The following is a 27180-nucleotide window of genomic DNA, read 5'->3' on the forward strand; positions in this document are numbered from 1 at the left end:
AGGCCAAGACGGATGGATCTTGAGGTCAAGAGATGGAGACCATCCTGGCCAACATGGTGAAACCCTGTCTCTACTAAAAATACAAAAATTAGCTGGGCGTGGTGGCGTGTGCCTGTAGTTCCAGCTACTCAGGAGGCTGAGGCAGGAAAATCGCTTGAACCTGGGAGGCAGAGGTTGCAGTGAGCCAAGATCGTGCCACTGCACTCCAGGCTGGTGACAGAGCAAGACTCTGTCTCATAAATAAATAAAAACTGAGCTGTGTCTCAGTGTCCTGGGACTACCATAACAAAGTGCCACAAACTGGGTGGCTTAAAACAATATAAATGTATTCTCTCAAAGCCTTGGAGGCCAGAAGTCTGAAATCAAGTTACAGCCATTCTCCCTCCAAAGGCCTTCTGGGAGGATCCTTCAAGCTTCTGGTGGCCCAGGCAATGCCTGGGGTCCCTTGGCTCGTGGCTGTACCTCTCCATTCTCGGACTCCATTGTCACTTGGCTGTGTTCTCTCTGTGTCTGTCTGTGTTTCTCCCCATCTTTTTTTTTTTTTTTTTTTTTTGAGACAGAGTCTCGCTCTGTCCCCCAGGCTGGAGTGCAGTGGCACGATCTCAGCTCACTGCAAGCTCCGCCTCCTGGGTTCACGCCATTCTCCTGCCTTAGCCTTCTGAGTAGCTGGGACTACAGGCGCCCGCCACCACGCCCGGCTAATTTTTTTTGTATTTTTAGTAGAGACGGGGTTTCACCGTGTTAGCCACAATGGTCTCGATCTCCTGACCTCATGATCCACCCGTCTCAGCCTCCCAAAGTGCTGGGATTACAGGCGTGAGCCACTGCACCTGGCCATTTCTCCCTTTCTTATAAGGACATCAGTCGCTTTGGATTTAGGGCCCAGCTTACTCCAGTAGGACCTCATCTTAGCATTACATCTGCAACAAACCTATTTCCAAATAAGGTCACTTTCTGGGGCGCTATAGGACTACATCTTTTGGGGGGATGTGATGGGACCTGTAACAAACTGTAATTTACACGGAGTAAAAGTCACTCTCTTTAGTGTACGTTTCTGCACGTTTTGACAAACAGACAGCCATGCAACTGCCACTGCAGTCAAGACAGAAAATTCCATCACCCTCCAAAAGCCCCCTGGGCCCTTTTGTAGTCAGGACCTCTTCCTCCGCAGACCCCCGCGTTTCTGCTTCGTCCCTACGTTCTGCCGTTTCGAGAACGTCCTGTGAATGGAATCACAGTGTGTCACCATGTGCCTGGCTTTTTCTCAGCCACATGCATTTGAGGTCTGCCTGGGTTGTCGTGTGACTCGAGAGTCCATTCCTCTTTGTCGCTGAGAATATTTCGTTGTGTGGATCTACCAGTGTGTTTATCCCTTCCCCGCTCAGGCCTGTTTGGGTGGTTTCCAGTTTGGGGCGATGACAAATACAGGCACTAACAAACGTTTGCATGTAGATTGTTTCATAGTGGAGCCACGCGGGCAGGCTTGCATTTGGGCTGCTATGTGAAGAAGGATGTGGGGGCAGCTCAGGGAGGGGGGCGTGGAAGGGGGCTGCTGGGGGGTCCTGGCAAGGGCTGGTGCCTGGACTAAGGCCTCGGCATCAAGGAGGGGAAAGGTGGGCTCAGGGACAGGAGGGCTCACTGGAGTGTATTGAGGAGGCTGAGTGAATGGAGCCTGGCAGGAGATGGGTGTGCCCCGTGGGGGCGGGGAGGCCGCCTTTATTCCCTCCCACCGCCTCCCTCCTAGGGAGATGGCCATCGTGGCTGAGTGTAGCTGTCTGGACATGTGGACATTGAGTGGTAGAACAGTACGGTGTGGTGGTCAGGGCTGTGAGCCCTGGAGTAAACTGCTGGGGTTGACGTTCCACTCTCTGCCTCAGTTTCCTTATCTGTAAAATGACAGCCTCTAATTCAGAGTTGCTGTGTATTACATGAGTGGACGTATGTAAGGACCTAGAACAGAGTCAAGAACGTAGTAGGCGTTGTTTCCATGGTCTTCTGAAGGGCCCTGGTTCCACACCCCCTTGTCCACTCCACTCACAGTTTGCACTGCCTCTTGTGACCCCGTGGGGGTGTGGACGGCATGATCATCTGGGAAATGGGGGGCAGGTCCCCAGCGCCAGGTCTGCCCTTGCTTACTGTGAGACCTCTCCGATCATTGCTTCTTCCATTCATGCAGTGTGGAGATACAGGGCTGCACTGTGTCCCGGGTGGAGTGTGAGCAGTGTGTAGCACAGCAGCCCCGCACAGTAGGCACTTCGCAGCAGGCATGAAAATGTGCGGCTTCATGATGTGTGCATGACATGATGGGGAGAGGCCTCAGTGAGCGGTTCGCGGGACACACTCCAGTTCTGGGGCTGGCAGAGGCTCCCCATGCAGCTGCCACAAGTAGCCCCTTTTCCTCCAAAATTTGTCCTCTGCCTCTGATGGAAGCTGACAGAGGTGATGGCCCAGCAGCCTCTGAGCTACACGGCCCATGGTAAGCTGGTGCCTGGCCTGGGCTCCAAGGAGGGAGGTTTAGTGGGTCCTGGTTCAAATGCTACAGCAGCCCCCAGAATCCAGGCCGGCTGGTGGAGACCCCCCTGCTCTGAGATAGGGTTCATATCCAGGTTGGCTATGATTGATACCAGCCTAACAAAGGGATACTTACAGTCAATTCTCATTGTTCACAGATTCTGTGTTTGCAAATCAGCTTACTTGCTAAAATGCATTTGTAAGCCCCAGATCAACCTTTTTTTTTCTTTTTTTTTTTTTGAGATGGAGTCTCGCACTGTCACCTGGGCTGGAGTGCAGTGGTGTGATCTCGGCTCACTGCAACCTCCACCTCCCCATTTCACACGATTCTCCTGCCTCAGCCTCCCAAGTAGCTGGGATTACAGGCGCGTGCCACCACGCCCGGCTAATTTTTTGTATTTTTAGTAGAGACGGGGTTTCACTATGTTGGCCAGACTGGTCTTGAACTCCTGACCTCGTGATCCGCCCACCTCGGCCTCCCAAAGTGCTGGGATTACAGGCGTGAGCCACCGCACCCAGCCCAGATCAACACTTTTGAAGTCATTCAAGGACATAGGCAGAGTGATGAAATATTCCAGTTGTCCGGCGGGCACATTCCCAGCTGAGGTTGAACAGGGCGACACTCTGTTTCCCTTCAGCTCCTGTGCTGCAAACAAGTGTCCTTGTCGAGGTCGATTTTGTGTCATGTTTTCTCATTTTCATGCTTTTTTTGGTGGTTTCACTTTTTAGGATCCGAAGCGTAGTGTTCGAGGGCTGCCTCGTGTTCCTAAGTGCAAGAAGGCTGTGATGTGCCTTACAGAGAAAATATGTGTGTTAGATAAGCCTTATTCAGGCATGAGTTAGTTCTGTTGCTGTGAGTTCAGTGTCAATGAATCAAGATTATATATTTAATTCGGTGCCCTTCAACAGAGACACACATAAAACAAGGTTATGTATTGATTGGTTGATAAAAATGTTGTGACCAGACGCTTGCAGGAACCTATCTTTGTATTTCCCCTAGGAGCAATGATTCAGTATTCGCTCAGTGTTCATGGTGACTTTACAAAACAAAACCACAATGAATGATGAGAATCAACTATATCTTCCTCGTGTAGATAAATCTTCCCCTAACCTCTCCCCTGCACTGTGCACACTTCTACCATCAGCAGCTCATGCCTCTGGGTTAAGAAGTGCCCAGTCTTAGCTATGGTGTTTCCTGAAAATGCACAAATCCTTGGGATATGCACTATCCCTCCAGTCTTGGGGCCTTGGTCCCCTCTCACCTTCAGTGACATTGAAGTGTTCGAAAGGACAGTTTCCAAGAAAGGTAGTGGTCAATGCTAATATTTTATTTTCTGTGCTTCTAACAGAAAGACTCTTGTAGGGAGTAGTGTATCAATCAAGGCAAATAAAAAGCAGGGATTTTTCACTTTCACAGATTTGACACTACTAATTGCAGCGATTATGTCTGGAGCATTTACTCAGGGTCGAGTTTTTGTTGTTTTGTTTTGTTTATCAGTTAATAGTCATAGCCCCCTGAGGCTGAGACTGCATTGCCCAGTTTACAGGCGAGGAAACTGAGGCACAGCAAATCACTTGATCAAAGCTCTTAGCAATAGCAGAGCTGTGGCCACTTCTCGGTGGATTCAGCCACCTGAACCCAGGTTTCTCTGAGTCCAGAGCCTCTGCCCTAGCCCCTGAACTCCCTGCATCTCCGTGCTTTATCCCAAGGTTCTGGGGCCCTACTGCCTTTTCTACATCCACGTGTGCCTGGATCCTGGAAGGGATGCTGCTGGAACCTCTGCAACCTTCCAAGCCCCACTGAGGGGATGACCTCCCTATCTTCTCCCCAAGTTGGTTCTATGTGGACAACCCAGGTGAAGAACCTGGGAGGCACAGAAAGGTGCATCCAGCCCCACCCACCAATCTCTGTCTTGTCATCTGCTGGCAAAGTCCCACCCTACAGTCACTGTCTTCGGAGTCTTTGGGGGTCATTGTAACCTGGGTGGGATGGGTGTGCCTGTCATGCCTCAGGACTCCTCCTTACAGCATCTTACCTCCTCATTTTCTCCCTATTGTCCCCAAAGTAAATTCACCAGTGTCTTCGTCAGCTTGGGCTACTGTAACAAAATAGCACCGATGGGGTGGCTTACAAACAGTGGCTCTGGAGGCTGGGAAGTCCAAGATGAAGGCAGCAGCAGATTCTGTGTCTGGCGGGGTCCAGTCACTAGACACCAAACCCTGTCATAGATGGAATGTCTGTGTCCCCACAAAATGTATGTGTTGAAATCCAATCCTCTCAGGGCACACAAACATTCAGTCTATGACAGCCAGTGTCCTCAGCTTCCTCTAACCTCTCACTCTTGAAAACTCACCCACAGCGACTTCATGCCTTAGCACAAGGGACTTTGCATGCTTTAAAATCTGATGGGGGCAGGTGGACATAAATGTTAACAGGGAACAAAAACCTGGTGGTAGAATTTCTAGCTGGGGGTGCGGAATCCACTTGGCTTTGCAAGGGCACCTGGGCCTGGCAGGCGGCCCCTGTCAAGAAGCGTCAGGACTGTAGTCGGCCTGGGGTGGGCACATGATACGCTTATTCCCCAGCAGAGGAAATGTGGTCACAGCAACTGTTAGGTGGGTTGCAGGGTGACTCAGTGTCACCAGGGGGTGGGAGCAATGTGACGCTGTGTAGTTTCCTGCAATGGGCGTGTCAGGGCTGCTATCCTTGGCCTGCACCCTCACGACACTGGCAGTGCCCGTGGAAGGGCAGCTATGGAGAACCTGCAGTGCGTTCTGACCTCCTCCCTAGCGTAGAAACAGTGGTTCACTCTGCCAAAGCACAACTCTCGCCCCCCTAGTTATTTTAAACCCCTCCCCCCAGTAAGCCCATGAAGTAAGTGGAGGCAAGTCTCCCATCTCTTATCTTTTTTTTTTTTTTGAGACTGAGTCTCACTCTGTAGCCCAGGCTGGAGTGCAGTGGTGTGATCTCGGCTCGCTGCAACCTCCGCCTCCTGGGTTCAAGCGATTCTCCTGCCTCGGCCTCCTGAGTAGCTGGGACTACAGGCGCATGCCAGCATGCCAGGCTCATTTTTGTATTTTTAGTAGAGATGAGGTTTCACCATGTTGGCCGGGCTATTCTTGAACTCTTGACCTCAAGTGGTCCACCTGCTTTGGCCTCCCAAAGTGCTGGGATTACAGGCGTGACTCCCTTCTCTTATCTTACTGCTAGGAGAACCTAGGCTTAAAGAGGGAGGGAGACTTGCTTAAGGTCACACAGCAAGCTAACAGCAACAGGCTAGAATAGACCCCAGATAACTTTCCAGGATACAGGGTTTTCTGCACCACCCAGAGCTGCCCAGGATGAGTAATGTCCACAGCCACTCTTTATTGAGCCATTGTTAAGCTCTAGATGCCTTAGTCCTTCTGGTCCTCACAACTAATCCCATGGGGTCATCTCATTTTAGACACTGAAAGGCCAGCCTCAGAGTGGAAGGCAGGGCACCCAGGCTCCTTGTCTCCCCTTCTGGGGGAAGTTATTTACCATGGTGCAACTCCTCCCCTCTCCCTCTCCCTTCTCAGCCTCAGCAGGGGAGGGGGAGGCTGCCATCTCCTCCCTAACGTCCCCCACTCAACCCCAGATGATGAGGAACTGCTGAGTAAGCAGCAGGCAGGACAGAGGCGGGGGTCACGGGGCCACGGTGGAATGTATGGGCTGCCACAGGTTGCAGGTACTCTTAGAGGAAGGGTGGTCTCCTCAGAGCCGTCTGAGATTCCTGCCCTCTTGCTCATTTTCCCAGCCTGGTCCATCCCTGGGTAGGAGAAGGCAGCCAAAGGGAAGTGGGCATGGGAGTTGGGAGGCTCTTGAAAGCCGGGGAGCTTGGAGGGGACGAGACTCAGGAGGCTCATCTCAGGCAAAGACCTGGTCCAGGAAGTGGCCTTGACATGTACCAGCCTCCCGTGGAAGCTCCCAGGAGGAGGGGCCGGCAAACACTGCAACAGATGGCACAGGACTGGATTTGCTTTCCAGAAGAACTTTCCAAACAGGGTGGTGGCCAAAGGTACTAACAACACTCAACATGCATATAGTTTTCCTCTTTATTTCTTTTTTCCTTCTATTTGAAAACAAATCCCACAAATAACACACGAATTCACATATACACTGAAAAGATGTAAACTTTAGAAAAGTCTAGATCAGCATTGTCCAGTGTGATAGCCACTAGTCACATGTAGCTATTTTACAAGTTAAATTAATTAAAATGTGTCAGTAGCACAACCATTATGGAAAACAGTGTGCAGATTCCTTAAAGAACTAAAAGTAGAACTACCATTTGATCCAGCAGTTCCACTACTGAGTATCTACCCAGAGGAAGAGAAGTCATTATACAAAAAAGATACTTGCACACGCATGTTTATGGCAGCAAAATTCACAATTGCAAAAATATGGAACCAGCCCAAATGCCCATCAGTCAATAAGTAGATAAAGAAATTGTGGTCTCTCTCTATATATATGATGAAATACTACTCAGCAATAAAAAGGAGTGAATTAATGGCATTCGCAGCAACCTGGATGGAACTGGAGACCATTATTCTAAGTGAAGTAACTCAGGGATGGAAAACCAAACATCATATGTTCTCACTCCTAAGTGGGAACTAAGCTATGAGGATGCAAAGGCATAAGAATAATACAATGGACTCTGGGGACTTAGGGGAAAGGGTGGGAGGGGAGTGAGGAATAAAAGGCTACAAATTGGGTACAGCGTATACTGCTCAGGTGATGGGTGTACCAAAATCTCAGAAATCACCACTAAATAACTTACTCAGGTAACCAAATACCACTTGTTCCCCAAAAACTTACGGAAATAAAAATTTTGTTTTAAAATGTGGCAGTAGCCTCATTTCAAGTGTTTAATAACCACATATGGCTTGTGGTGACCATACTGGATGATACAGGTAAAGAGAATTTCCAGCAATGACAAAATTCTATTGGATAGCACTGGCTAGACCAGAAGCTAGGAAAACCCCACCAGCCAAAAATACTGTTTGGAATCAGTTTGGTTCTTTGGACTTCTTTTATATATATTTATATATGTGTGGCCATCCATAGAGATAGCCTTCTTGAGTTTATAAAACCCCTCCACAAAATGATTATATCTGATCTGCCCAGCATCTCAGCCCTATGGGTATGAGACTGATGTTCCCCATTAAAAAAAAATATCCTTTGAGTCATGTCATTTTTTTTTTTTTTTTTTTTTACAGATGGGGAAACTTAGGCTCATAGAAAGTAAATGGGGCTGGGCGTGGTGGCTCACGCCTATAATCCTAAAACTTTGGGAGGCTGAGGTGGGCGGATCACTTGAGGTCAGGAGTTCGAAACCAGCCTGGCCATCACGGTGAAACCCCGTCTCTACTAAAAATACAAAAATTAGCTGGGCATGGTGTCAGGCACCTGTAATCCCGGCTACTCAGGAGGCTGAGGCAGGAGAATCGCTTGAACCTGGGAGGCAGAGGTTGCAGTGTTGCAGTGAGCCAAGATCGTGCCACTGCACTCCAGCCTGGGTGACAGAGTGAGACTCCATCTCAAAAAAAAAAAACAAAAAGAAAGAAAGAAAGAAAGTATATGGACAAGTGTGGAGAGGTTGGAATGAGTTTGTTCCTTAGGGACAGAGGTCCTTCCCCTGAGTTTGTCCAGGGCAGCTGAGGGGCAGCCAGGCAGGGGGTCTCTGCTGGTCTTCTCAAATCCCTACACCTTCCACTATCTTGTATGTGAGAGGCTCTGACAAGCACATTGATCTGGGAAGATTCATGCCTGGGTGTCTATTCTCCCATTTTTATTGTTCCCCCTGAAGTGTTCACCTGTTACTTTTTTTATTGTCATTATAATACACATTTATTGTAAAATTTGGAGTGTACAGAAAAGTGCAAAGAAGGAGAAAGAAATCACTTCATCTCAGGATGAATTGCCACAGTTGTTTCAGTTTCCACTCACACCTGCAGAATAGGAGAGCTCCGGTTCTTCCTCATCCTCCCCAGGCCTTGGTAGTGTCAGCCTCCATCGTGACACCCATGGGGATGGGCTCTCACTGTTCAATTTACGATTCCCCGATCCTCACGCTGTTGAGAATCTTTTCACATGCTCACAGCCATGTGGAGATCCACAGTAAGAAGCGCCAGGTCAAGCTTCTTGCTTATTTCCCTATTCATTGTCTGGTCTTTTCCTTATCGGTGTGTACACTGTGCTTATGAGCCCTTTGTTGGGTGTGTGTGTAAAAATATCTTCTCCCACTCAGGGCTTGTGCTTTCATTCTTTTTTTTCTTTTCTTTCTTTCTTTTTTTTTTTTTTTTTGAGGCAGGTTCTCGCTCTGTCGCCCAGACTGGAGTGCAGTGGTGTGATCTTGGCTCACTGCAGCCTCCACCTCCCGGGCGAGCTTTCATTCTCCTAATGATGTCTTGATGAACAGGAAGTCTTTGTTTTACTGCATTCAATTTTATCAGTCCTTTCTTTTAAGATTGGCGGGTGTGGGTGTGTGCGTGCACGCACGTGCATACTGTTTAAGAAGTCTCTCGACCATCAGATTACGAAGACATTCTTTACTTTCTTCTAGAAGCTTTTTTGTTTTACCTTCCACCTTTTAAATTAGGACACAGTCTACCTGGAACAGACTTTTTTTTTTTTTTTTTTTTTTTTAGACAGAGTCTTGCTCTGTCGCCTAGGCTGGATTTCAGTGGCGTGACCTTGGCTCACTGCAACCTCCGTCTCCCGGGTTCAAGCGATTCTCCTGCCTCAGCCTCCTGAGTAGCTGGGATTATAGGCATGTGCCACCACGCCTGGCTACTTTTTTTTTTTTGTATTTTTTAGTAGAGACTGGGTTTCACCATGTTGGTCAGGCTGGAACTGATTTTTTAAGTTGTGAAGAAGGGACCAGGCTTCATTTTTCCCTCAGTTGGATACCCAGTTGTTCAACACCCTTTATTGACAAGACTGTCCTTTCCTCATGTGCTACTATTGCGGCTGTGCAGAAATCAGGTGACTGTAAATGTGCGGCTCTATTTCTGGACTTTTCTGTTCCACTGACCTGTGTGTCTGTCCCTGCAGTAATGTCACACCATCTTAATCACTTCGGCTTTATCATAAGCCTTGATATCCTGCAGAACAACTAATACCCCCTCTTCAAGTGCAGCCTGGATCTTCTCAGCCCCTTTCATCTCCCTCTGCCTTTTCACACAACACCTTTGGGATTCTAACTGGGATTGCACTGATGCTGTAGACCGTTTGTGTAGAATTGATAGCTTGACAGTATTGTCTTCCACGCCATGGACAAGATCTGTCCTTCTATCTCTCCATTCGCCTATTGTGTGTCTGTGATGTGTAATGTTTATATCATAAGCACTCATCAGTAGGAATTTGGCAGTGATTAGAAACATAGACTATTGACTCAAAAAACTGCCAGGGTTCAGCCGGGAGCAGTGACTCACATCTGTAATCCCAGCACTTTGGGAGGCCGAGTTGGGCAGATCACGAGGTCAGGAGATCGAGATCATCCTGGCCAACATGGTGAAACCCTGTCTCTACTAAAACTATAAAAATTAGCTAGGCATGGTGGTGGGCGCCTGTAGTCCCAGCTACTCAGGAGGCTGAAGCAGGAGAATCACTTGAACCCGGGAGGTGGAGGTTGCTGTGAGCTGAGATCGCGCCACTGCACTCCAGCCTGGTGACAGAGCAAGACTCCGTCTCAGAAAAAAAAAAAAAAAAAAAAGAAACTGCCGGGGTTCATATCCCAGCTCTGCCAGTTGCTAATTCTGTAGCCCTACTGACTATGTCTTGGTTTCTTCCTCTCTAAAATGGGAATGATAACCGAGTAACCTTATAGCATTCTTTTAAAGGATTAAATTGGTTCATGTATGTTAACCAGCAACAGCAATGCATGGCACACAGTAAATGGTAAACTCTGGAAACATAATTTATTTCCGAGTAGGTAATATGCTCATAGGATTTAAAAATATATATATATATAATGAAAAAGATGTACAGTGAAGAAGTTTTCCCACCTGGTCCCTTCATGTCCCTGTTTATACCCCTTCCTGACACTAGCTTCCTGCATCTTCTTCCAGAGTTTCTTTATGCAAATACAAATAATTATTCTTTTTCTTTCCAACAAGGGAGTACAGTATACATACTGGTTTATATGTATGTAAGTGGTTAATATCTCCTTAACCACTTAGTGACTGGGTTGTTTCATATGGTACTAATATTTCCTACATTGCTTTTGTCCTTCAGCCACCCACCCACCCTAGGAATCTTTCCATGTCAGTACACAGAAGGTATTCTCATGATTCTTCTTACAGTTGTATAGTATTCCATTCATTTCCCTGGTCCCTTATTGATGGACATTTAGGTTGTTTCCAGTCTTTTCTCCATTACAGACAATGCTCCCCTGAATCCAGTGAGCACTTTTGTCTGTGCGTCATTTTGCATACATGCAACTGTACGTATAAGTTCCCACGATTGCTGGGTCAAGGGGCCTATGTGTTTATGTGTTTGCAATTGTGATAGAAGTTACTGAATTGCCCTCCATGAAGGCTGTACTAACTTATGCTTCCACCAGCTATAAGTGAGTGCCTTAGGGACTTTTTTTTTTTTTTTTTTTTTTTTTTTGGAGACAGAGTCTTGCTCTGTCGCCCAGGCTGTAGTGCAGTGGCACAATCTTGGCTCACTGCAGCCTCTGCCCCCCCGCCACCAGGTTCCAGCGATTCTCCTGCCTCAGCCTCCTGGGTAGCTGGGATTACAGGTGCACGCCACCACGCCTGGCTAATTTTATTTATTTTATTTTATTTATTTTTTTTTTTTTGAGACGGAGTCTTGCTCTGTCACCCAGGCTGGAGCACAGTGGTGCGACCTTGGACCACTGCAGCCTCTGACTCCTGGGTTCAAGTGATTCCTCTGCCTCAGCCCCCCAAGTAGCTGGGACTACAGGCGCCCGCCTGGCTTTTTTGTATTTTTAGTAGAGACGGGGTTTCACCATGTTGGCCAGGATGGTCTCAATCTCTTGACCTTGTGATCCACCTGCCTCGGCCTCCCAAAGTGCTGGGATTACAGGCTTGAGCCACCACACCCGGCCACACCTGGCTAATTTTTGTATTTTTAGTAGAGACAGGGTTTTGCCAGTTTGGCCAGGCTGGTCTCAAACTCCTGACCTAGGTGATCTGCCTGCCTTGACCTCCCAAAGTGCTGGGATTACAGGCGTGAGCCACCATGCCTGGCCCTTAGGGACGATTTTTAATGGCTATATATTATTCCATTGTTTGTATGAGGCTGAACATCCCAAATTGCTTTCTTTATAGGTAAAAAATGGTTGGATGTTGCCAGTTTCATATGGTACTAATATTTCCTTAACCACTCCATTGTTGAACACTTTTTCTTGAACCCTTATTCTATGCCGGGCTTGGGCACACTGTGGTAGATGGGCCAGACACTGGAACACAAAGCTTGAGTTTGGGGGAGACCAGCATGTTACAGGCAGTATTGTTTGATTGTTTCTAGTTTTCCACAACTGCAAGTCACGTGGCAGTGAACATCTTTGTCTGTTAAGCTTCATTTGCATTTTAAAAGTATCTCTTTGAGATCTATTCTAGAAGGGAAATGGCCTACACTGTGCGGTCTTAGCCAGAACAAGAGTGCAGAGTTCTCTAAATACACCTGCACACAGCCCAGCTCAATGCCACATATGAATGCTCTTAAGGGAAACTTTATTTTTCAAAGTTTCAAGTTGTTTTAATTGTTTTCTGAGTAGGCGATATAGTCACACGGTTCAAATTCCAAAGGTACAAAAGGGTTCATATCCCAGCTCTGCCACTTGCTAATTCTGTAGCCCTAGTGACTATGTCTCGGTTTCTTCTTTTCTCCATTACAGACAATGCTCCCCTGTACAGGGGAGGACCCCCTTCCCACCCTGTCCCCCAGCCTCCCAGGCCCCCTCCCAGGGGTCTGTCCTTGCAGAGATGGCCTCAGCTCATCCCAATATATGTGACAGGTGTGCTCAGGGCCTGCCCGTTGCTCTTGGTGACCTGGGTCTTTTGTCCTTGCTGCCTCCAGCTTCAGTCCCTCCAGCTTGGCCCCTAAATCCTGTCTTCTCCAGTAACTATCTCCATGTTCAGTGAAGTTTCTGGGGATCTTGGGGTGGGGGGGATGTCAGCTGCTCTTTCATATGACTGTTGTAATTATTATTACGTTAAGCCCAGAGTGGGGTCTGGGCCCATACTAAGTGCTGAATAAATACTTACTGGGCGAATAAATACTTACTGGGTGAATAAATGGTGGATACTAACATCACTGAATGCTTGCTGGACTCTGGGCACTATCCTGAACTCTTCATAGCAAACTCATCAGGTAGTCATGCTTATCTTTCCCATTTTAAATATAGGCAAATTGAGGCAAAGAGAGCCTGAGTCACTTGTGAAGCCACGGACCTGGGATTCTAACCCAGGCTGCCTGGTTCTCAAGCCCATGCTTAAACCATGAGGCTGCATAGCTCTGGTTGATGACTGAAGGCCAAATTGCATGCAGTACCGGGGACAGGATTGGTACCGTCACCTGTAAGCTTGGGCCTGGTGGGAGTGGACAGACCTGCCCAGGACAGGTGGTGGGGTCAGCAGGACAGGCAGGCTGAGTCAGTTTAGTCCTGGATGACCCAGATAGGCAAAGTGGCTAGGACCTTTGAACCAGAGAAGATTCCAGAGGGAGGGAGGGTGGAGGAACTCAGTCCAGGTTCCTAGGATGCTGGGGGTGTACAGGGTTTGCAAGAGCAGAGCCCAAGGAGAAGGCAGAGCAGCTGGGACTAGAGGCCCAACAGAGCAAAGCCATGAGCCTTCAACCACAGTGGCTGAGCGGGGGCCTGGGGTGGGTCTGGCGTGGTGGGAGCCACCACCAGAAGGGCCTGCGGCTGAAGCTGGCTGCCTCTGCCGGCACCACCAGGCCTCCACACGTTGGGGTCAGTGTGGGCAGGTGGAGCCCAGTAGGGACAGCGGGGCACCTAGCTGGAGTCAGGAAGGCAAGACTGGTAGCTGGAGAGTGCTGGACGCACACTAAGTGACAGAAGGCCTGCAGCGCACACAGATGTGGAAAGTTTGAAGGCCTTTGACCTGCCAGACCCCTTGATGTGGGCTGTGACGTGTGAGCTGAGGCAGTCTGGCCTGCTGTCAGCGCTTCCGAGGTCCGGAAGACCTGCCTAAACTGACTTCCCCTGCTAGAGGCTGTGGGCAGGGGCCCATAGAGCCTGTCCCCTGTTCCTGGGACTGACCCACCGAGGGTCGGGGGTCTTAGGCTGCACTCTATTCCCCACCTCCTAATGGAAGGTCTTTTGGTTTCCCAAGGGAGGAGAAACCCAGGGAACTTTCTCACAAGATTTTCCAGACACTTCTTGGAGCCACAAGCATCTGTGAGAAACTGCCAGGGCCTTGTACAGTTATTTAGCCCCTGGAAATAGGCTGGAGGCATTTGTTGAGTGTTTGTGCTTTGTGCATGTGTGAGAGATCCTAGTTCTGAAACTGCTACTTCTCTTCCATCCCCACGGGACCTCCATGGTCAGCCTGGAACTGTGTTTTTGTTTCTGTATGCACCAAAGCCTGGGCCAGAGGTAGAACTAGGAAGCAGCTGTGGCTCAGCTTCACACACGTCTAGGAAGAAGGATCTGGCAGACACAAAGCCATGGAGAAGCCAGCCTGGCCGCCTGCCTTCTCCCAGGCTGTTCACTGGGGCAGGGCCAGCCTGGCTTGGAAGAGAAGCCTTCAGGTGGCAGCTAGCCAAGGGTCGGTTGAGTCACAGAATTGCAGAATTCATAATGCTGGAAGGAACCTTAGTCCTTGGTCCGATCCATGCTCAGGAAATACCTAGCACAGCTGCTGCTGCTCTCCCAGGCAGAGCCCCTGGCAGACATCACTAGCAGATTCCTGCATTCTTTCAGTCGAGCCTTCAACATAACAGTCTAGGCAGCTGCTGTCAGTCAACTGGGGTTCACATGGGAAGTTCAACCTACTTGCCATCCCAGATCTGATCCAACCTACTATTTGTATTAAGAGGCTGCTGAACCTGGAGAAGGAAAGTGAGTTGCCCAAAGTCACGTAGTAAACAACAGAACCAGACAGTGTCATTTCCTTTATATCATATCCATTCTTGTAATGGTTACAGCATTTGCCATGTTACTACCCATCTCATAAACCCTTGTTATCTCCATTCATCTCCACAATGTGATTCCACCCTCCAGATCCAAATTAATTTCCCAAAAGCATTGTGGAGCTACAGAAAAACTGGTTAGGTCATGTTAATACAAGTAGAGTATCTAGCTGTAGAGAGGTGATGGTCACACTTCTTTCTGTGCTGCTCAGGGCACACCTGGGTATTGTTTCCATTTGGGACTCCACATTTCAGAAGTGCAAAGAAAGAAGGATACTCATTATACTCGGATAAAAGCAGTATGATGAGGAGGCTCAGAACCACTCCATATTTTATGGTCAATTGATTTTTGACAAGGCTGCCAAAACAATTCAATGGAGAAAGAATCATCTTTCAACAAATGGTGCTGGAACAATGTGGGATATCCACATGCAAAAGAATAAAGTCAGACCCCTACCTCATGCCATACATAAAAACTAACTCAAAATAGGACAAAGACCTAAATGTAAGAACTGAAATGATGGGCAAATTTTCATGATCTAAGACTAGGTAATGGTTTCTTAGGTATGACACCAAAACCACAAGCAACAAAAGAAAACCTGGACAAATTGGACTTCTTAGATTATAACTTTTATGTTTCAAAGGACACCCTCAAGAAAGTAGAAGTGCAGTCCATAGAATGGGAGAAAATATTTGCAAATCATATATCTGATAAGGGGCTTATATCCAGAATATATTAAAAATTTACAACTCAGTAATAGAAGACCCAATTCAAAAATAGGTAAAGGATCTGAATAAACATTTCTCTGGGGAAGATATACAAATGGCCAATAATGGGTCAGGCGTGGTGGCCCATGCCTGTAATCCCAACATTTTGGAAAGCTGAGGCAGGAGGATTGCTTGAGTCGAGGAGTTTGAGACCAGCCTGGGCAACATAGACCCTGTCTGTACAAAAAATAAAAAATTAGCCAGGTGTGGTGGCACATGCCTGTGATCCCAGCTACTTGGGAGGCTAAGGTGGGAGGATCACTTGAGCCTGGGAGGTTGAGGCTGTAGTGAGCCATGATCACACCACTGCATTCCAGCCTAGTTGACAGAGCGAGACCCTGTCTCAAAAAAAAAAGGCCAAAAATGAACAGATGCTCAATATCAATAGCCACCGTAGAACTGCAAATCAAAACCGCAATGAGAAACTACTTCACAACCAATAGGGTGGCTGTAATAAAAAAGACAGACAATATAACAAGTGTTGGAAAGGTGCTGGAGAAATTAGAACCCTCATATGCTGCTGGTGGGAATGTAAAATGGTGTAGCCACTTTGGAACACAGTCTGGTAGCTCCTCAAAATACTAAACACAGAATTACCATATAATCCAGCAATTCCACACCTAGATATACACCCAAGAGAACTGAAAACATAGGTTCCATACAAAAACTTGCACATGAATATTAGCAGCATTATTTGTAATATCCCCAAATTGGAAACTACTCAAATGTTAGCTGATGAATGGACAAGTCAAATGTGGCATCTCCATACAATGGGATATTGCTTGGCAATAAAAAGAAGTGAAACATTGATATAGAAGTACTGATAAATTCCACTAGCTGCTACTACATGGATGAACCTTGAAAACATGATGCCAAGTGAAAGCCAGACACAAAGGACCACATAGTGTATGCCTCTGTTTGTAGGAAATGTCCAGAATAGGCAAATCTATAAAGACAGAAAGATGAGTGGTTGCCTCGGGCTAGAGGGAAGGGGGCAGGGCTGGGGAGGAGTGACTGCTCATGAGTAAGGGGTTTCTTTGTGGGGTGATGAATATGTACTAAAATTGATTGTGGTGGTGGTTGCACAGCTCTGTGACCATGTTAAAAACCACTGAATTGGATTATTTAAATGCTGTTAAAAAACGAACCACCCTATCTGGAAATTCTTGGAGACACCCAGCTCAGCGTCAACCGCAGTTGACAAACCTTCCCTCTGGGTTGCTGTGTGGAAGCCTGGGGCTGTTCCAGCCGGAAAACAGAAGACTCTAGGGCGGTAGATGCACAAGCCATGTTCACATAGTTTAGAGGCTTTATGGGGGGTGGGGGGAGTAGTCCTCATGGCCCTATAAAATGTAGAAAAAGCAACAAGAGGAAACACTTCAGGGGAACGGATTTCATCTCAATAGAAATTGAGAATTGCTTCTCGGAATGGGTTGCCTGGTGAGGTAGCTAGCTCATGTGATTAAAGGTCTTCAAACAGATACAACTGCTGCTTGCTAGGGATGGTAGAGAGGGAACTGAAGTGTTAGGGTTAGGCTCTCAAAAGCCTATTGTTAACTATCCAGAAATTTTGCTAGCCAGGTGCAAACCTTTAGAGAGCTTGACCTCAGCAATGGTGGGAGCATTTACACCCCACACCCTGGAAACTGGCAATTGCTACACATCAAGGCTTTTGCTTTTTTTTTTTTTTTTTTTTTTTTTTAAATCTTGGCTCACTGCAACCTCCGCTTCTGGGGTTCAAGAGATTTTTCTCCCTCAGCCTCTCAAGTAGCTGGGATTACAGGTGCCCGCCACCACACCCGGCTAATTTTTTAATTTTTAGTAGAGACGGGATTTCACTATGTTGGCCAGGCTGGAAGGCTTTTGCTCTTCATTTACTTATTCATTGTCCTAGACGGGTGTTTTATTGGCACATCTCTGATCCAAACCAGATACTCCAACAGGTATCTCTGCATGCTCACCTGCCTCCTAACAGTCTCAGATCCACCTCCCTGCCCTGTGGGAATTCCTTCTCCACTCTGTCCCATGTCTAATTCAGCCCTAGCTTCCTCCATGAACTGTTCGTGAAGCCTCCCCACCCCCCCATCTCATTTAGTAGTTACCATTTGCTAAAAGTCAGCTGTGGGCTGGGTTCTTTAGTTACACTGTCCCATTCAACCCTCATGCAGTCCTTGAGCTGAGTGGCAGAGTCTCCCTGCTTTACACAAGAGGACTCTGAGGCTCAAAGAGGTAGAGGAGCTCAGGAGGATCACAGGCCCTATCTAGCCTGAAGCCTGTACCTGTTCACCACACTATGGAATGAGGAGTGGGGAGTTCTCCCAGCCCCAAATGCCTGCAGGCCACACCGCACTCTTCCCGCCTACATCTACACCTGGAACCAGGAAATTCAGAGTTAGATGTCCTCTGGCATCAGCTGTTCTTTGTCTCCAATGACCTTCTCTGGCTTCTGCTCTGGTGGCTTGTGACAGCTGTGGGGGGGGGGGGGGGGTGGGGGCGGGGGTCCCAAAAAGTCCCCTGGGGCTGATTCTTTGGATGGCCAGTTGAATCTATTCCCGGGGCTAGACTCATCTTGATGACCTTCCAACATGGGACTCTCTGACTTCTGAACTGACTTTAAAATGCCAAGAAAAAACAGCTGGAGTGGTCATGGGGACAGGGCACTGGCAGAAGGAACAGGCCAGGGTGCCTGGGCTCTGCTCCACTCCACATTTCCTCGACTTGTGGCATGCTCTGGGACCCGGGGGTATGTGTGTTTATACATGAGAGCTTTTTTTTTTAAATTAAATATCAAGTTTAGAGAAGTCTAGAGAACAACATTGCAATGCCCTATGCACCCATAATTCAGCTTTGTTAATTCCTATCACTTTGCCATGTTTGCTTCAGATCTTTTTGTTTGGTTTAATAAATAAATCATTGCAGAACTGGTTGAAACCTCCTTCGCACCCCTCCCTGATCCTATTTTTCTCCTCAGTTCAAGGGCAGCCATCTTCCTGAGTTTGGTGTGTGCATGTATCCACAAACAGGTATAGAACTGTGGTGCGTGTTTTTTTATACTTTACATAAATGTTTTCATTCCTTCCGTAATTTGCTTATTTCACTCATTAGGGTTGATTTTTTTGTTTGTTTGATTGCTTTTTAAAACGTTTTCTTTTAACTTTCTGGTGTTTTTTTTTTTTTTTTTTTTTGAGACGGAGTCTTGCTCTGTCCCCCAGGCTGGAGTGCAGTGGCACAGTCTCCACTCACTGCAAGCTCCGCCTCCCGGGTTCATGCCATTCTCCTGCCTCAGCCTCCAAAGTAGGTGGGACTACAGGCACCTGCCACCACGCCTGGCTAATTTTTTTGTATTTTTAATAGAGACGGGGTTTCACCGTGTGAGCCAGGATGGTCTTGATCTCCTGACCTCGTGATCCACCTGCCTCGGCCTCCCAAAGTGCTGGGATTACAGGCAGGAGCCACCGCGCCCGGCCTAACTTTCTGTTTTGACGTGATTTCAGACTGGCAGAAGAGTTACAGGAATAGTACAGTGAATTCTTGTTGGTACACTCCTTTCGCCAGATTCATCAATTATTAACATTTTGTCACATTTGCTCGTTTGCACTCTTTCTTTCTCCCTCTCTATTTTTTTTCTTTTTTCTTTTTCTTTTTTTTTTTTTTTTGAGATGGGGTCTTACTCTGTCACTGAGGCTGGAGTGCAGTGGTGCGATCAGTGCTCACTGCAGCCTCAATCTCCCCGGGCTCAGGTGATCCTCCCACCTCAGCCTCCTGAGTAGCTGGGACTACAGGCATGCAGCACCACACCTAGCTTCTAATTTTTTCTAAATGATTTGAGAGTAAGTTGCAGACATTTTATCTCTTTACCCCACATACTTCAGTGGGTATTTCTCAAGGACAAGGATCAAAATCAGGAAATTAACATTCATGCAATAAACAGAATTTTGAGATTTAACCATCTGTGTAGCATTGATTCTGGCCCTTTTCTTTTCTTTTCTTTGTTTTTTTTTGAGACGTAGTCTTGCTTTGTCCCCCAGGCCGGAGTGCAGTGGCATGATCTCGGCTCACTGCAACCTCTGCTTCCCGGGTTTAAGCGATTCTCCTGCCTCAGCCTCCCTAGTAGCTGGGATTACAGGCACCCGCCACCACATCTGGTAATTTTTGTATTTTTAGTAGAGACAGGGTTTCACCGTGTTGGCCAGGCTGGTCTTGAACTCGTGACCTCAAATGATCCACCTACCTCGGCTTCCCAAAGGGCTGGGATTACAGGCTTGAGCCACTGTGCCTGGCCCCTGGCCCTTTTCTTTTATTGATAAATAATAGGTGTACATATTTTGGGGGTGCATGTGATCTTCTGACACATTCATGTAATGTATCAGAATCAAATCGGGGGATTGGGATATCCATCACCTTAAATATTTATCTTTTTGCTGGGAACATTCGAACTATTCTCTACTTGCTGTTTTGAAGTATATAATAGATTAATGTTTACTATAGCCACTCCACTGATTTACTGCATTTCCTGCCTTTTAACAGCTGTGTCATTGTCCAGGGTGGACTGAGTCACAGCTTTATTTATCCATTCGCCTGTGGCGCCATTGGCTTTCCCCATTTTCTCCATGTAGTAAATGCTGCAGCAGCAGTGGCCATCTGTAAACATGTAAACGCGGGTGTTCAGGGAATGGGGCTGCTGGAATCTGGGCTCCAGCATTTCTTCTCTTTTAAATTTTGATAGATTGTTATGATAGTGGGCGTAACTGTTTTCATTCTCTGGGGAGCTTTGCCCCCCGCCCCCAGCCTCAGACCATTCCTCCTGCTGTAACAAGTGAGAAGCAGTTGGGGTGAGTAGGGCCTGTTTGGGGGAATGAGATGTCCCTGGTGGACTAGGTTGGCCAGTGTCCCCAAAGCAACAGGTGTCCCTGGGAGAGATAGGGCATGACCACATGTGTGGTTGCTACATCCAGAAAAATGTGACCTACTAAAAGTGTTAACATGGGCCAGGTATTACCAGCTCCATTGTACAAATAAGAAACTGTTTATTTAAAATTATTTTTATTTTATTATTATTATTTTATTTTATTATTAATATAATTATTATTTTATTTTATTTTATTATAATAAAATAAATTATATTTTATTTTATATTATATTATATTATATTATAATTAAATAAATTATCTTTATTTTATTATTATTATAAAGTAAATTATCTTTATTTTATTATTATAAAATAAATTATCTTTATTTTATTATTATAAAATAAATTATCTTTATTTTATTATTATAAAATAAATTATCTTTATTTTATTATTATAAAATAAATTATCTTTATTTTATTATTATAAAATAAATTATCTTTATTTTATTATTATAAAATAAATTATCTTTATTTTATTATTATAAAATAAATTATCTTTATTATTATAAAATAAATTATCTTTATTTTATTATTATTTTATTTTATTATTTTATTATTATTGAGACAGGGTCTTGCTCTGTCACCCAGGCTGGAGTGCAGTGGTGTGAACACAGCTCACTGCAGCCTTAACCTCCTAGGCTCAAGCGATCCTCCTGCCTCAGCCTTCTGAGTAGCTGGGACCATAGGTGCACACCACTGTGCCCAGCTGATTCTTTTAATTTTTTGTAGAGATAGTGTCTCACCACGTTGCCCAAGCTGGTCTCAAACTCCTCAACTGTAGCAGTCCTCCCACCTTAGCCTCTCAAAGTGCTGAGATTGCAGGTGTGAATCACTGTGCCTGGCCTATTTAAGATGATTGTTTTCTTTTTTGAGACAGAGTCTCGCTGTGTCACCCAGGCTGGAGTGCAGTGGCACCATCTCAGCTCACTGCAACCTCTGCATCCCTGGTTCAAGCGTTTCTCCTGCCTCAGCCTTCCAAGTAGCTGGGATTACAGGCATGTGCAGCCATACCCAGCTAATTTTTTTATTTTTAGTAGAGATGGGGTTTCACCATGTTGGCCAGGCTGGTCTCAAACTCCTGACCTCAGGTGATCTGCCCGCCTTGGCCTACCAAAGTGCTGGGATTACAGGCATGAGTCACCGCACCTGGCCTATTTAAGATGATTTTAAATCATGTTAGCAATGCATAATTATTATAAAAATTTGAAACAAACCCCCTTAACGTCTCTGAAATAACTCTAATGACATCTTACATAGCCTTCTGGAAATTATTTCTATGTATATTTCTATGTCACTGTGTGTGTTTGTGTGTATTCCCAAGTGGAATAATGAACATTATTGAATACCCTTTCTTTGCCAGGATACGTAAACATGAAATTTTTTTTTTAAACTTTCAAGAGCTGGAAGAGTAGAGTGGTTAGAAGCGTAGACTCTGGAGCCAGATTGCCAGGGTTTGAATCCCAGTTCTGCCACTTATTGGCATGTGACCTTTGGTGAATTATTTAACCTCTCTGTGCCTCTGTGTCTTCACCTTTACATGAGACCACTAGGGGTAGGGTAGGTATATTCGGTTCCTAGGGCTGCAGTAGCAGGTTACCACTAACTTTGCAGCTTAAAGCAGCAGAAATTTATTTTCTTGTGGTTCTCAAGGCCAGAAATCCAAAACCAAGGTTTCAGCTGGGCAGGTTCCATCTGGAGGCTCTAAGGGAGGATCCGTCCCATGCCTCTCCCCGAGCTCCTGGTAGTGGCTGTCTACCTCTGGCACTCCTTGGCTTGGGGCATCATAACTCCATTCTCTACCTCTGCCTTCACACGGACCTCATCTGTGTCTCTCTGTGCCTTTCCTTCTTATAGGGACACCTCTCATTGGAGTTAGGGCCCACTCTAAACTTAGGATGATCTCATCTCAGTAGCCCTAAATTATATCTGCAAAGAAAAAGATCCTTTTTCCAAATAAGGTCACATGTACAAGTACTGGGGTTAGGATTTGCACATATCTTCTCGGGGGACACAATTCAACCTCTGAGGTTGAATCAGGCAGGTATGAGGATGACTGAATTAACAGGATTTGGGGGCCCACAGTGGGCACCGTATGGTGTGGACTATGAATACATGAAACAGGCAAGTTGCTGCCCTGGCTGGCATCACCAGGGCTCCCTCCCTCCCACGCCGGCCCCTGCACTCCCTCTGTGTACTCATGGTGCTTTGTCTGGAGGGACTGTGCCATCCTGTAACATTTATCACCAGAGCCACACTGGCTTCTACTGGCCCAAAAGCCCTCTAAGGCCAGGGACCAGGCCTCTCCATTCCTGTAGACCCCCTTTGTCTTGTTGAAGCTGGGAGGCCACGCTGCCTTGGGTCAGGTTGGTAGGTGGGGTAGTGACGGCCTTTTCCGGTTCTCCCTTTCCGTCACACACTCCCACCTCCCGCCCCCTGGCGTGTTCTGGCCAAGTCTATACAGGAAGGCCTCGGTTCCCACCGTGAGGCTGCATTGGAACTCTCTGAGCTGCTTCCTGGGGCTGACATAGGCAGCCCAAAGCCGGAACCCTGTGAAGCTGGGAAACTTCTGCGCCTTCCCCCTACCCCTAATAGGCAGCATCTAGCCAGGGCCACACACCCCAAGCTGCCATGCTCACCACTCTGTCCCCACATTTGGTCAGCTCCTTGGGCTAGCTATCCACGCTGGAGTGGAGCTTCCCTCTTCTACTCCCCAGGCTGAATAGGCCTGAATGTAGACAACAGGCACCATGCCCAGGAGCTGGGCACACTCAAGGCCAATTCCCGCCCTCCTTTAGGGAACTGGTGAGAAAATCCCCATAGAAGCTGAGAGGTTGAGTCCTGCAGCCCAGGGACTGGGTTTTCCTGAGTGTCTGCTGGCACTGCGTCTGGCAGGGCGTTCTGGGTGGGTGTCCGGCGGCAGCCATAGGATCAGAAGCCTGTGGGCCTGCTGCTCTGAGCTCATTGCTCTATTCCCCATGAGTGGGAGAACAACCCGTTGTGGAGCAATTTCTCTTTCTGGTGGAGCTGCTCCAAAGCTTCCAAGGCTCTAACAACACCTTTCATTATCCAAGGTCCCCGGTTCTGCCTTTGCAGGGTCCTTAGCGGAGTGGGAGTTCAGCTGGTGAGAGGGAGGGCGTGGGTGTCAGAGTGGCCGGCTCTGCCAACAGATGGCTGATCTGATGCTGGTTGGGCTTAGCGACGGTTCCTGGCAGTTGGAGCTGCTGTGGCCAGGCCAGTTGATAAGTGTCATCACAGCTGTAAAACAAAGCCTGCGTGTCACCCACTCTGGGCACTTCCATCTTTGCCATCTTGCCACAAGTCACTTCAATCAAATGTGCCTAGTCCCAAAATCAAGGTTTTAAAGTGAGAGAACTGTAGCAGGAAGAGGAAGAGAAGCGTTATAACTCGGGGGTTGGAGGGTTGGAAAAACTGTAACATTTACTGAATAGTGTGTCAGGCACTGTGCTAAGTAGTTGACAGCTCATGAAATTTTCCCAGTAACCCTCTTAAATAAAGACAATTACGTTGTTTTTACTTATTTTTATTTTTGTTTAGTTTTATTTATTTATTCATTCATTTTGAGACAGGGTCTTGTTCTGTTACCCAGGCTGGAATGCAATGAGGCGATCTCAGCTCACTGCAGCCTCCACCTCCAGGCTCAAGCAATCCTCCTACCTTAGCCTCCTGAGTATCTGGGACTACATGGGGCACACGCCATCATGCCTGGCTAATTTTTCGAAAGTTTTTTGTAGAGATGTGGTCTCACTATATTTCCCAGGCTGGTCTCAAACTCCTGGGCTCAAACAACCTTCCTGCCTTAGCCTTAATCCCAAAATGTTTGGATTACAGGCGTGAGCCACAGCGCCCAGCTTATTATGTTTTCACAGGTGATTAAACTGAAGCCCAGAGAGGTAAAGTATTAATAACTGGCCAGAGGTCATACAGCCTGCATCCAAACCCAAGACTTCTAATACAGCAGGCAGGCTTCATCTGAAGGGGCCTTAAGGGATGGGGAGAACTGTTATGCCAGTAGTTCACTATTAAAAATTTAAAAGATACAGAAGACTTGAAAGAACTTTGCAGTAAACACCCATACACCCACAAGTAACCCTCAATGTTTTTCTCTATCTGTTTTGTTACATATCTTTACATATCCATGAATGCACCTTACTTTTTAATGTATTTCATAGGAATTTGCAGACCACCCCCTGAATGTTATCATGACTAGAGTTAACTAGAGTTCAGTGTTTAGTTAGGATTATCTTTTATAGTTTTGGTATAAAATTTGCATGTGGTAAAAGTGAATGCACACATCTAAGTGTCCTGTTTGAACTTCATATAGATGGATTCATGCCATATGTACTTTTTTGCATTTGGCTTCCTTGACTCAGCATAATGCTTCTGAGATTCGTTCATGTGGTTGTGCGTGTGGTTAATTCCTTTTTATTGCTGACTACTGACCCGTTGTGTGGACATGCCACCGTTTGTTTATCCATTCTGCCGCTGATGGACACTGGAACCAGGTGGTATTGAGCTATTAGGAGGAGAGCTGCTTTGACATTCGTATGCAGGTCTTTCTGGACGTATACTGTCATTTCCCTCGGGTGTATACCTAGGAGTGGAATCGCTGGGCCATAGGGTAGGTATATGTTTAGGTTTATTAAAAAGTGCCATATCTTTGTCTAAAGTGCTCGTTCCAATGTTCGTTCTCCCCAAGAGTACACTAGCATTCTGATTACTTCCCATTCTCACCACTATGTGATGTTGTCAGTCATTTTAATTTTAGCCATTCTAGTGGTTGTGCCGTGGTATCGCATTGTGGTTTTAATTTGCATTTCCCTAATGACTAATGACTTTGAGCATTTTTTCACCTGCTTATTGTCCATTTGTATGTCTTCTTCTTTGAAGTATCTGTTCAAATCTCTTGCCCATTTTAAAAATTGATTTGCTTGGTCTCTGTTGGATATATGTTTTGCAGATATTTTTCCCCCAGCCTGATGGGCAGAAGTTTTAAATTGTGATGCAGTCTAACTTTATCTATTTTTTCTTTTATGATCATTGCTTTCTGTGTCTGGTCTAATGCTTTTGCCTGCCAGTTGGAAATAATCTTGGGAGGAAGAAATAGACCCTGAAGGAGGTGCAGGTGGACAGAGCAGCATGAGCGTGGGCTCCAGGTGGAGAAGTGCATGTTCTGTTGGGTGATGGAGTGGAGCCCTTTGTAGGGGGTGTCTGGGGTTGAGGGGCAGAGGCCCAGAAAGGGAATGCCTTAAACATGAAGGGACTGGACCGGATTCTTTAGGCAGTGGAATCCATTGCAAGTTTTAGAGCAGGAAGGGATGTGATCACAAGACAGTGAGATGTACAGTCCTCGTGATGTTGGAGCCTGGGGCAGAGTTTCCACTCAGTCAGTCACCCTGAGAGCAGCAGCCTCGTGCTTCAGGATGCAGGTGGGGCTGCCGGGCTGGGAAGCAGGTTTATCTCTGTGGATTCCTGCAGACCCTCCTGGGCCCTGAGACCACCCAGGTCCCCCCAGATCTTCATGGGCCCATTTATTCTTGCCAAGGAAGCCTGAGCACAGGGCTAGGCATGTAGCTAGCTGGAAGCCCAGCCCTGGGGAGTGCTTGTACATGTGGATTTAGGGCCAATGCTCCCTGTGGCTCCAGATGCTCATGGGGCCCTCCCCCTACCCCCTCTGCTCTCACCTCCTGCCACTCTCACCCTTCTCTCATTGTCCCTCCTTGCACTTGCTCCAGGAGCAGGAATTGCAGGCTTGGGAGTTTGCTCTTCCTTCTGCCTGGACATCTCTTCCCCAGATACCTGCAGCCAGGCACTTATTCCACAGTCACCTTTTCCGGGTGTCTTCCCTGGCCACCCAGTTTGGAACTGTCCCCCATCCCTGGGACCCTTTCCTCTTCCTCTTTGGCAGTATTACCATCTAACATCCTCTAGTCACCTATTTGCCTTGTTTATTGCCCGCCTCTTCCCCTAGAATGTAAATACCGTGAAGGTTTTGGGTTTTTTTTAACTGTTTTGTTCACTGCTCTAACCTGTGCCTGGAACAGCATTTGACATTGGCAGGTCCACAGAAACTAAGCACAGCCCGAGTGAATGAGAGGCCCACTCCCTCATTACTCCCAGAACCTCTCTGTTTGATCGCAGCTTTGGTTCTGCAGGTAAAAAAAAAAAAAAAAAAAAAATGGGGATGAGCCCAGGTCACACCTAGGGCCACCCAGCAAATGGAGAAGCTTCCTTCTCCCAGTCCCCATTGCACAGATGAGGAAACAGACCTTGAGGGGGAAAGGACTTGGCCAAGTGCTAAGCCATAGTTCGTGGCAAAGAAGAAATGAAGCTGATTGCCCTCAATCCCTGCTATTGAAAGTCCTAACTGGCCCGGGGGAGGCTGGGGCCCAAGCAGGGATGTTTAAGGATGATTATAGCGTCTTTTGGTGCCAGAACATATCTTTGTGTTTCCAAGTGGGGTTAGAGGAGCCTGCAGCCCAGGGGTTTCTTTTCTTTTCTGGGAAATTCAGACCTCCATCATTTTAACTTTTCCCAGACGAGATGCTGGGACCACACTCAGGGCCTGGGAAGTGGTTGCATCAGTATCAGCCAGGCCGCCCTGGCCTTGAGCTCCAAATGAGATTGTTCGGCCTCAATTCCACAGCCTGTGGACTTCCACAGAGCCATCCTACCCCGCCCCCACCAGCCCCAGGATTCCTGCCATTCCCCGGGACACTCATATTTTCCTGGTGACCTGGCTCCTTCTTCTAGGTAGGCTGAAGGCTGTGGACCGAAAGGGGAAATCCACAGGCAGCCGGGAGCACACACAACATTCGTGAGAGTC

The 27180-nt window shown here is 47.1% G+C and overlaps 1 protein-coding gene across 1 annotated transcript in view, besides 6 other annotated features; it reads left to right on the top strand.

Annotated features, from left to right (window-relative positions):
* The window catches only part of RIN3 (Ras and Rab interactor 3), a 175214-nt gene that overhangs the window by 12735 nt on the left and 135299 nt on the right, over positions 1-27180 (top strand). The gene's annotated exons all lie outside the window — the stretch shown is intronic.
* Positions 1185-1942: an enhancer, noted in NCBI's record as "H3K4me1 hESC enhancer chr14:92994044-92994801 (GRCh37/hg19 assembly coordinates)". NCBI's record gives its function as "activates a minimal SCP1, AML or CMV promoter by ChIP-STARR-seq in primed H9 embryonic stem cells {active_cell/tissue: H9 hESC(primed)}" and the evidence as "EXISTENCE:reporter gene assay evidence [ECO:0000049][PMID:30033119]".
* Positions 1943-2699: an enhancer, noted in NCBI's record as "H3K4me1 hESC enhancer chr14:92994802-92995558 (GRCh37/hg19 assembly coordinates)". NCBI's record gives its function as "activates a minimal SCP1, AML or CMV promoter by ChIP-STARR-seq in naive H9 embryonic stem cells {active_cell/tissue: H9 hESC(naive)}" and the evidence as "EXISTENCE:reporter gene assay evidence [ECO:0000049][PMID:30033119]".
* Positions 4625-5125: an enhancer, noted in NCBI's record as "H3K4me1 hESC enhancer chr14:92997484-92997984 (GRCh37/hg19 assembly coordinates)". NCBI's record gives its function as "activates a minimal SCP1, AML or CMV promoter by ChIP-STARR-seq in primed H9 embryonic stem cells {active_cell/tissue: H9 hESC(primed)}" and the evidence as "EXISTENCE:reporter gene assay evidence [ECO:0000049][PMID:30033119]".
* Positions 5126-5626: an enhancer, noted in NCBI's record as "H3K4me1 hESC enhancer chr14:92997985-92998485 (GRCh37/hg19 assembly coordinates)". NCBI's record gives its function as "activates a minimal SCP1, AML or CMV promoter by ChIP-STARR-seq in primed H9 embryonic stem cells {active_cell/tissue: H9 hESC(primed)}" and the evidence as "EXISTENCE:reporter gene assay evidence [ECO:0000049][PMID:30033119]".
* Positions 8616-8816: a silencer, noted in NCBI's record as "peak2237 fragment used in MPRA reporter construct". NCBI's record gives its function as "represses an SCP1 promoter by STARR-seq MPRAs in K562 erythroleukemia cells {active_cell/tissue: K562}" and the evidence as "EXISTENCE:reporter gene assay evidence [ECO:0000049][PMID:32103011]".
* Positions 25742-25831: an enhancer, noted in NCBI's record as "active region_8931". NCBI's record gives its function as "activates an Ori minimal core promoter by ATAC-STARR-seq in GM12878 lymphoblastoid cells {active_cell/tissue: GM12878}" and the evidence as "EXISTENCE:reporter gene assay evidence [ECO:0000049][PMID:35858748]".

Source organism: Homo sapiens, chromosome 14 (assembly GCF_000001405.40).
Source record: "Homo sapiens chromosome 14, GRCh38.p14 Primary Assembly".
Lineage (NCBI taxonomy): Eukaryota > Metazoa > Chordata > Mammalia > Primates > Hominidae > Homo > Homo sapiens.